At 38.8% G+C, this 11243-nt stretch overlaps 1 long non-coding RNA gene across 2 annotated transcripts in view; it reads left to right on the top strand.

Moving 5' to 3' along the window:
• Positions 1–79: 79 nt before the first annotated feature.
• LOC105375470 (uncharacterized) overlaps positions 80–11243 on the top strand; it is a 32620-nt gene continuing 21456 nt past the window's right edge. For both annotated transcript variants that reach the window (XR_927904.3, XR_927903.3), the window contains exon 1: positions 80–133. This is a non-coding gene — a long non-coding RNA (uncharacterized LOC105375470). The remainder of the gene's footprint in view (positions 134–11243) is intronic.

The following is an 11243-nucleotide window of genomic DNA, read 5'->3' as shown; positions in this document are numbered from 1 at the left end:
GCCGCACAGCGGTGACGAGAGAGTGCGCGTGCGCAGTGTGTTTTCTCTGTAATTCTGGGCCGTGTTCCGGAAGCCTCGTAAGACAAAAGCGAACGAGAGGCGGAAAAAAGGAAGACGCTTCCTGAAGTTGGGGGTATGAGACAGAAGTTGGGGGTATGAGACAGAAGTTGGGGGAGAGTGGGTTTCCAATCCGAGTAAAAGGCAGTGTGGTGGAAGTTAACAAGAGAAAATGTTGAGACGAGGTAGAGCAGGCAGGAATAAACGAAGTAAGGTGTTTTTATTAGGAGTGAAGGAGAGAGACGAGTGCTGTTGTGTGAAACGTAGGTGCGGGTAGTTGAATCCCTAGTTTTCTGCAGCAGAAGCCGAAAATAACGCTAAAAATAAGTTCAGTTGCCCGGGACAGAGTTGCGCACGTTATAACCACACGGTGTACGCCTCTTAAGAACTCAGCAGTGAAATACACTTTCGTATGTTCTGCTTTTGTCTCTAAAAGTGTTCCAAAATGGAGGTGTTTTTACTTTTTAAAGAAACTAAATGCAAATAGGCAAAGGTGTGTGACCATCCCTTAGAAAACGAATGTCCACGCTTCTGCCACGCCAGGATGGTCTACCTTTCTTCAGGGTGAAATTAGTAAGTAAAAGGCTGCTGCAGCACCGAGAAAGGACCGATGCAGGAAGGATGCAGGAAGGCACCAAACTTGGTTCTAATCTTGGCTCTGCTAACAAATTGGTGTCATTGCACAGGTCACTTCAATTCTTCTGGGCCTCAGTTTCGTTAGATAGTCCCATAGGTATCATTTCAGATATTTCCCAATGCGATACTGTTCCCACTTCATTTACTGTTGCCCTAACTTGAGAGAGCTTGAAGTTAGAAAGAGATTTATACACAAAACACCAGCAGGAGCGATTTCCCTTTTTTGCAAAATATCTTTATAATTTCAGTTAAACATGTATTTTCTTAAGATTTGTGGCTTTGTAATAACTCTTGCAATGTCAGCAGTTTTCCTCGGAAAAGGAAGCATTTCTTAATTAGAGCATACCCACAAGATACTCCCAAATAGTTAATATTTTATATTCTGGAACTTATTCCTATCTGTTTGAAATCAAATGTAGTCAGGAATTAGATTGTGAATGTCTCATATTCTCAGGGTAACAAATGAAAGTGTCTTCCGCTAATGAAAGAACAAAGATAATTGTGTGATTTGCAAATGTTAGGTGTTGAACCAAAACCCAAAGACTAATTAATGATTAACGAGGTGTTAGGAGTTTTGTTAAAAAAAGAAATTGCTGGGCATGTTGGTGGGTTCCTGTAACCCCAGCTACTCTGGAGGGTGAGGCAGGAGAATTGCTTCAACCCGGGAGGCGGAGGTTACAGTGAGCTGAGATCACGCCATTCCACTCCAGCCTGGGCGACAAAAGCGAAACTCCATTTCAAAAACAAACAAACAAAAAAACCTCTGTGTGATCTTATAAAAATGAGGCCGGGTGCAGTTGCTAACATCTGTAATCCCAGCACTTTGGGAGGCCAAAGCGGGTGGATCACAAGGTCAAGAGATCAACACCATCCTGGCCAACGTGGTGAAACCCCCTCTCTACTAAAATACAAAGATTAGCCAGCATGGTGGCGGGCACCTGTAGTCCCATATACCAGGGAGGCAGAGGCAGGAGAACCACTAGAACCTGGGAGGTGAAGTTTGCGGTGAGCGAAGATTGTGCCACTGCATTCCAGCCTGGGCGACAGAGCGATACTCCATCTCAAAAAAAAAAAAAAAAAATGAATACTCCCTATGGCTTTTCATCCCTTAGAGTGTGCTTTTGTAAGTCTATTGCCCTGTGTAGTTGTCATTAAATTAATATGCCAGATAAATAACAGATGAACAGTGTTTATGGAGCATCACAAAATCTCTTTGGCTGGAAACTTTTTTACATGTGTCTTAAAATCGCTATATTTTCTGTAGTCTGTAAGGATCACAGATGTAGCGAGAAAACCTATGGATAAATAAAAGTCGGTTTACTAAGACAAAATGAATTACATCTGGATGCAAACATTACATATGTGATTTATCTATATTAGCCATGTACCCTTGGGAGTACATGAATGTAGAAACCTTAGCATCTCATAAAGAAGAATTACATTAAAGCTCCAATAAGGGAAAACTGATACACATAAACATCTGACTACTAAAAAATTAAGAGTTAACAGTGAAACTTGCCCCTTAAGTCGAAACCTCTCAAAGTAATGCTCATTTAAATGACATTATATCACTGATAAAGTATCAACCAAAGTATGCTTGTAATAGATAATTTTATTCCATTACTTCTGAATCTAAATCTTGAGCAGAAAACCTTAACCTAAAGGATCAGACTTCTAGTAGAATCCTAGGAAACTGAATTTGCGCTTCTCTGAATAGTTTATGGAAAACTATCACAATAGCAGTTTTTTAAAATAAAATAATATTTTTAACCTTATGTGATGAGAACTTTTATTTCCTTTTACGCGTTTATGCTTTACTTCCCTACAAGTTGCAAAGGTGTTAACCAATCAGTAATATATATTGAATAGATCTAACTAGAGTTCTCCTAGGCAGAAAAGGACATAAGTAGATCATGCGTCTCTACTTACAAGGAAATTCCTGAATAGTTACAGACCTTTACTTATAAAAATGAAATAATTATTGCATGAAAAAAATGAATATTCCAAATTACAAATAAAGGTAATTGATAGTCTTCATTTAACACTATAAATTACAAAGTGCTTTACTTACTTTTTTCATTTAGGGTAATAAAGACAGGTAGATTTAACTCCATTACTTAAGGGATGGAAAAGATCAAATATAAGTGATTTGTTAATTGAGAAGCAGTTTAGGATCATTATTAAGAACACTGACTCATGAACTGCCTGAATTTTTATTTGTTTGACTTTGAGCATACTTAACCTTCTGTGCCTGTTTCCCCATCTGTAAAATGAGGAAAACTACACAAAACTACATCTAATTGTTGAGGAACTAAAAGTAATACTTGAAGAGCCTGATATATAATGAGTACTCATTGTTATTCAAGGACATAGACTATACCATAAATAACCTTTTTTTTTTTTTTAAAGTCCCAAAGCTTATTCCAATACGGTGTTTTGTTCATGGCCATTTTTTATGATTGGATAGATTCAGCTGTGCACATTTTAAGTGCTTAAGGAAGGGAAAGATGGATATGAGTTCAAATCTTGGGAGGTTTTACAAAACAGGTAAGACTTAAATCAGTGCTTGAGAAGAAGTGCAAATACACTTTAGGAAAATGACCTGACATTAATTTTTTTTTTTTTTTTTTGAGATGGAGTCTCGTTTTGTTACCCAGGCTGGAGTGCAGTGGTGCGATCTAGGCTCACTGCAACCTCTGCCTCCCGGGTTCAAGCGATTCTCCTGCCTCAGACTCCCGAGTAGCTGGGATTACAGACATGCACCACCACGTTTGGCTAATTTTTGTATTTTTAGTAGAGACGGGGTTTCACCATGTTGGCCAGGCTGGTCTCAAAATCCCAACCTCAGGTGATCCGCCCACGTCGGCCTCCCAAAGTGCTGGGATTACAGGCGTGAATCATCACGCTTGGTCCTGACATTAATATTTAGCGGAGGTAAAAACTGAAGATAAAAAGGCCAGCAGGAGTTCAGATATGCGTTTCTGATTTGTAGCAGTAAGAATGGAGAGGCATATTCTGTGCTCACAGAGGTTAATAAGTAATAAAAGAATGGAGAGGCAGAAAAAAAGTGATTTGAAGACAGAGCTTAAGAAAGGTGATGAGGCCAGACCCAGTGGCTCACGTGTAATTTCAGCACTATGGGAGCCTGAGGTAGGAAGATTGCTTGAGTCCAGGAGTTTGAGGCTAGCCTGGGCAAAATGGCAAAACCCCATCTCCACCAAAAAAAAAAAAAATTAGCTGAGCATGGTGTCATGCACATGTAGTGCCAGCTACTTGGGAGGCTGAGGCAGGAGGATAGCTTGAGCCAGGGAGGTTGAGGCTGCAGAGAGCCATGTTGGAGCTACTGCCCTCCAGCTTGAGCAATAGAGTGAAACCCTATCTAAAAATGGAAAAGAAAAGAAATGAGGCAGACAGCAAATCCTAGGTGGCATAGTAATGGTGGTTGGTGAATCAGAGGTTAGCAAGATTAGGGAGACACAGGAAAAGGCAAGACTGCTTGTTAACAAAGTAGATGGGGCCAATCTGTAGAACTGTGTAAACATGATACACTTTGCTCACTAGCCAATGGCAAGGCCACGGAACATACTGGTGATACTTACACGGGCATATACTTTACCTTAAAGATCTGGAGAACCGGTATATCTCAGGAGGCCCTCTGTTTCACCTCATAAGGGGCAATATATATTAATAAAATACTTACGTATGCTTTTATGCATTCTTTATGGTATTTTTAAAATTGATTTTTATTATTAAAATTTTTAGACCAGGTGCAGTGGCTCACACCTGTATTCCCAGCACTTTGGGAGGCCAAGGTGGGCAGATTGCTTGAGCCCAGGAGGTTAAGACCAACCTGGGAAACATGGGGAAAAACCCATCTCTACTAAAAATACAAAAATTAGCTGTGCATGGTGGCCCACACCTGTATTCACAGCTACTTGGAAGTCTGCAGTGGGAGGATCACTTAAGCCCAGTGAGCCGTGATCATGCTACTGCACTCCAGTCTGGGCGACAGACTGAGACTGGTCTCAAAAAAAAAAAAAGAAAAAAAATTTTTTTTTTTTTACCAGCCATTTTTTACTCCCCAAATCCTGCTCTCCCTTTACATTATTTTTATTTTGGAAACTGGGCTGCTATAACAAAATACATTAGACTTGGTAATTTATAAACAACAAAAATTTATTTTTTACAGTTCTGGAGGCTGAGAAATCCAAGATCAAAGCAACAGTAGACTCTGTGTCTGATGAGGGCCTGTTCCTTATAGATGACACTTTCTTGCTGCATCCTCACATGGCAGAAGGGGGCAAGGCTGCTCCGTTCAACCTCTTCAGTAAGGGCACTAATCCTGTTCATGAGGGCAGAGTCCTTATGACTTACTTCCCAAAAGACCCCATCTCTTAATGCTATCATATTGGATATTAGGTTCCAACATATGAATTTTGGAGGACACCAGTATCCAGACCACAGCAGAAGCCAAAAAATGACAAAACATTCTGGCTATAATATGCTGTGTATAATACATTCCTGAAAATCTTCACATTTTAAGAAAATGGCTCACTTAAAATAAGAGCCTAAGGAAAAAATAAGTCTGGGAAAGCCCTCTCAAACTCTGAACAACTGAGCGGTGGTTCCCAAACTTTGCTACTTACTGATATGATCTTTAAAAACTGATAGCTGGCTCCCACACTCAAGACATTCTGAGTTAAATAGAATGAGGTTCAGCTGGGCCTCAGTATTCTAAAACATCCGTAGTTAACTAATAAACAACAAAGTCTGGCAACCACTGAACTGTAGTATTAACAGACAATAACAACCGAAATGAAAATAGTAGTTCATTTAGAAGGACGTGTAAAACTCCTAACAAATAAAGCAATGTTATATTAACTTAAAGAGTTTTACCTTTTTAAAAAAGTTGAAGGTTGCTTAAAGAATGACAGTTTACAGAAGGGTAGACACTGATGAGTGATGGAAACAAGGGCGGGAGATCATCAGAAGTAGCAGATGGAGAAGCAGTTGCAAACTTTGCAGGAAATGTGGAGTTGCCAGAGATGGATGGCTCTGACTCGTTGTCTGATGTCGCTTTTGCCCAAAGATGTGAGGGAGCTGCAAAATAAGCACTATCAAAATGGAGCATATGGCTGAACCAAGCCCAGGGAAGAATGGGGTCCCACACCGTGAAAGGTCATCATTTGAGTGCTATACTCCCCCAGGCCTGGTTCAATCACAAAACTAAGTGCAATAATTGTACTTCAGCTATTGTGTCTTTGTACTACAAAGCATTAAAGTGCTATGAAAAATTATGTATGAACCAACCCACTTTCCCTATTATTCTAACATTACTCTCCTGTTTAACAATCTCATGTGACCTCATGTGTACTATAAAAAACAGTACTCGGCTGGGTGTAGTGGCTCATGCCTTTAACCCCAGCACTTTGGAAGGCCAAGGCAGGCAGATTACTTGAGCTCAGGAGTTCCAGACCAGCCTGGGCAATGTGGTGAAATCCTGTCACTACAAAAAATTAGCCAGGCGTGATGATGCGCACCTGTAGTCCCAGCTACTCAGGAGGCTGAAGTGGGAGGATTCCTTGAGACCAGGAGGCAAAGATTGCAGTAAGCCAAGATCTTCTCACTGCACTCCAGCCTGGGTGATAGAGCTAGACCCTGTCTCAAAAATAAAAAATAAAAAAGACAATACTGTAACATAACAGACTATGTTAGTATTCCACTGAGAATCTGGAGTTTAAATAATGTCATCCTGCCCCTGTTTTACTTATCTCCTTCTGTGGTTCATACTGTCCTTTAGCACCAAGTAATTCTTTAGGTAGGCAGTTCTTCCACCTCTGACTTTGCCCTAGAAGGGTACTTGAATTCGTATAACTTGGGCAGCTTTATTTAAATAGCACATACAGCATATGACTAATCCAAATGGAGCACCCATACCTGATCATTTTTCAATATCTTTTTTTAAAAAATAAATTACCATGTATGTGTTATCACTATAGTGAACCAGATTAGGGAACTTTATTTTAAGCTGAGTACATTTGCTTTCTTTTTTATTGTTTTGCTTGGCTTTTAAAAATTGTCTTTAGCAGCTTGGATTGCAATACAGGTAAAATTATACTGTCATTTCCATTGAATTTTTTGCATGCCAAAATTGGAAAATAATATTGATATCAGAAATTACTTAGGTCACTAGGATCTTCAGTCTGAATTCATTCCTTAATGTTATAATCCACACAGAAGGAACAGATTGATTTGGACTTGTTGCAGACATTGTATGGCAAGGTAGAGCAATGCTAATTTATTGATTTTTTTTTTTTGGAGAAAAATACTGAGGTTAGGCAATGAGAGATGAATAATGTAAGAAGGTATATAGAAATGTAAATGGAATAGTGAGAGTGAAGTATAAGAATTACATTGACAAAAGCTAAACATAAATAACCTTGAGTGACCAATAGAAAGCAAATGCCTGAAATTACATTAAAACACATGGGGAGCAAATAAGGGTTGAAAATTACTTATTGGGTACAATGCTCACTACTCAGGTGATGGGTGCACTAAAAGCCCAGATTTCATATATGCATGTAAGAAAGCTGCACTTGTACCCCCTAAATATTAAAAAAAAATTTTAAATTAAAAACATATGGGGCAGAAAAAAATCAAGGCTTTCCCTTATTTTTGATAAATTCTCATTATATAAGTTTTGTTTCATTTTTGTAACAAATCAGAATGACTCTCCCACTTCCACCCTTTTTCTTTCAGACTATGGATCACAGATATTTAGAGCTAAAAGGGAACCTAAGAATTTTCAAATTTACATTCTGTGTCATGTGGATTAGGAAACTGAATCCCAAATAAGTTCATTGACTCTTTTAGGGTTACATAGTAGAACCTACAATCAAGGCCTCCTGGATTCTAGTTCAGTGCTTCTTACAATAGTTAATAATAAAAGTAACTGTTCTACTTGAAGGACAAAATTTTGAGTTTATATGTACATATGATCAGCGCATATCCATGGATACGTCATTGCTATTGTATGTAGACTTTTTCGGAAATCAGAAGGAATATGTATACCTTTGAGTCCAAATACTCAAAGGCAGGTTGACATTTTTCAGATGTCACTACCAATGGGAAGAATAGGAAAGGCAACTAAGATATTGTGGAAGGTAGAATAATCTCTCCTACCCCCCCAACCCCCAAAGATGTCCACATCCTAATCCCTGGGAACTGTGATTGTTACTTTACATGTCAAACAGCACTTTTCAAATGTGATTGAAGGTAAGGACCTCGAGATGGTGAGGTTATTCTGGATTACTCAGCTGGCCCCCTCTAATCATGAGTCCTTAAATGCGGAAGAGGGAATCAGAAGAGTGGGTCTGAGAGATGTGACATGAAAAGACTTGTCCTGCTGTTGATGGGCTTTGAAGTTGGAGGAAGAGGGCCATGAGCCAAGAAATGTGGTTATCTTTAGAAGCTGAGAACAGCTCTTAGTTTATAGCCAGCAAGAAAACAGGGACCTTGGTCCTACAACAGCAAGAAACTGAATTCTGCCAAAATCTAAGTGAGCAGGAAATGGATTCTTCCCTACAGCCTCCTTCTGGAGGCATACATTCTACTAACACCTTGATTTAAGTCCAGTCAGACCCATATCAGACTTACAGAACTGTAAGTTAATAAAGTTTTGTTGTTTTAAGCCACTAAGTTTGTGGCGATTTGTTATGGAAGGAATACAAAGTGATACAGATATGCAACCTCTTAATTTATTGTCTTCCTGGATAAAAGTAAAGTGTCTATACTGTACATAGGAGGTTTTGAACATTTTTTATTCATTCTAAGCAACTTAAGTACTATTGCTCATGGCCATCTTTTTCTGTGGCACAAAGTCTTTGTAAATTCTAAACTTCTACCCAGAATTTCCTCTGTGGTGACATTAAGTAAAAGGTGAGTTTCTTCAAAGTATTATTTAATATATTTGTGTGTTTTTCTCATTATACTGTCATTCTTATAAAGTGGATGCTCCACTGTCATGACAAGTAGTGGTACATGTTCAGTCTTTACATAAATCTTAAGTCATCTTCGTCAAGTACCTACTGTGTTCCACACCTCTGTTACTCCAGTGGTTTCTGCTCTTTTTTTCTCTAGGTTTTGTTTCTTGCCCGAACTCATTTTGTTGGTAATTAACAGAGCCAGTCTTTAAACCTAGACAGTCAAGCTCCAATGTGCTGCACTGCCATTGAGATTGTTGCCCAGGAAAAATTCACAGTAGTGTCAAGAAATAACCAACATATATAGACAGAGGATCACTTAAGGTTATTCAGATTTGAGTAGTTGTGACTGTTTCCTCAGATTCCTGGGCCTAACTCTTTACAAAGAGGAAGAGACAGATTCAACACTTTTCTGCCTCTGTGGCATTTTTTCCATTTCTTCAATATTAAGTATCTGTATCATTACTATTTTCTCTAACAGGGGTTGGCAAACTACAAACCTTGGGGAAATCATTCTGTTAGTAAATGTTATTGGCACACAACCACAATCATTAATTTGTATATCATCTATGGCTGCTTTGAGGCTACAACAGCAGAGTTGAGTAATTGCAACAGACGCCCACAAGACCTAAAATATTTATTATCGGGCTCTTTACAGAAAGTTTGCAGACCGCTGTTTTCTAATGTCAACAAATGAGATTTCCAGAGCTTTTATATTACCAATTCATCATTCTGACCGGCCTCATGTATTCTCATAATGCCCATTTTTGACTAGCTTTGAGATATGATTCTTCCATTTTTCTGAACTTGACCTCTTGCACTGAGAATAAACAGACATAACAAAACCTCAGAGGACTTCAGAGAAAGTCTGTATTGTTTCCTCCCTACCTACCCTACTACCTATTGTTTTTAGAATTTCTGTCAAGAATATGCAGGAAAAGAAATGAAAAATAACAACAAAAAGAATATGCAGGAACTTTTCCAAGTCTTTACCCCATGTGATAATTACTCACATAATGGAATTTTTCATGCATGTGGCATGATCAAAAATAATGATCTGCATTTTAACATATGCACCAGAAACTAAATTGAAAATCACCAACTTGTCAAAATAATGCAGTGAATTGAAACAAAATCTCAGCAGAGAGATTTTTTGAAAACAAAAAGATAATTCTTATTAAAGACAGCTGTTTGTTGGGGACATTAGTCATTGCTTTTTGGCTGCTTAACCTCCGTACTGTCTTTTTATTTCTTGAGAGTTCCCTATTTTACAAGTTTTGGTGATGGAGCTCAATATATCAGCCACTTTTTTCTGATGTTTCTTGCAGTGAAAGAGGCCTAGGCTCTGCTTATGACTACCACAGATATTGAATTGAGGGCGGGTGCTGCAAAGCAGCAAATCCTGTAGAGAAACGACTCTGATGGTCATACCAGTTGTAGCAAGAGCAAATTCATAAAGGAGCATGACATTGATGCCTGTGGTGACATCCAGGGCACAGTGAGCAGTGCCACTGTGTATTGGGTCAGAAGCTTCAGTTTGATTGTTTGACAGTGGTGTTCAAAGGGTCCTGGCTGACCCAGCTTTGCTGTGCATTTGGGACCTGCCACCCAGCTACCTAACCTCTGCATATTATTCTGCTTTTTAAAAGGATATTGAGTAGCTCACATAATTGTAAGACAATTATGAGCTATTTTTGCTCATATGGCTTCTAAATTTTAACTAAAAAAAATTAAACCAAGACCCTTTTATGCATGTTTACTTTAAAATGCTAAATTTTTATATACTAAATTTATTAATTGCAAAGAATGGAACTTCTAGCACATAGTGTTTTGTTTATGTGCTTTAAATATATTTTCATTAAAATTGTAGCTGCAAATTTAAGTCATATTTATGGTAGAGCCCATATCCTTATCAAACCCATTAGCTGACTTTATTTTTCTATTTAAATAAATATGTTACCCTGCATCCTGTGAGTGCTGTTGGAGAGTCAGTCTACCATGAGCCCTGAAAAATCACTGCACATTCTTTCCGGGGATGCTGCTGGTGCAAAGCCCTGACTACTCCTTACCTAGGCAAGTTTTATGTCTCGTATAGGTATATTAGTATATAATAATATCCATTTCCCATTTCTCTCAAAATGACTTCACTGTGCTCCAGTGTACTTTCAGTTTTTGATATGTGCATCTCCGCGTTTGAAGGCGTTTTCTGCACCCCTCTCCATGTGTGGCAGGCTAGGAATTCTGGGGAATTAACACTCCCTCAGGGAGCAGTCTTCAGTCAGTGACTGAGTTTATAAATAACAGCCTCTTCATCAACAAGGTGGGATAATCCAGGTGCTGTATCTCTGCTCATTCAACAGTAGTGGCTTAACTGTGCACATTTTATTGACTCACTTCCTTTCCTTATAACCCTTCTCCACTCCCTTACTGGTTTTCCCTAAATAATCTACTTGCACTTAAATTCTTGCCCCAGGATCTGCTTTTGGGAGAACTCAAACTAAGATAGAGATCAAAAGTACTCTTCCTTTAAAAAGGTCTCTATCTTGAGTTAGGAGCAGGAGTCTAGCC

Source organism: Homo sapiens, chromosome 7 (assembly GCF_000001405.40).
Source record: "Homo sapiens chromosome 7, GRCh38.p14 Primary Assembly".
NCBI lineage: Eukaryota > Metazoa > Chordata > Mammalia > Primates > Hominidae > Homo > Homo sapiens.
Note: the sequence above shows the minus strand (reverse complement) of the source record. Positions and strands in the feature narration are given on the sequence as shown.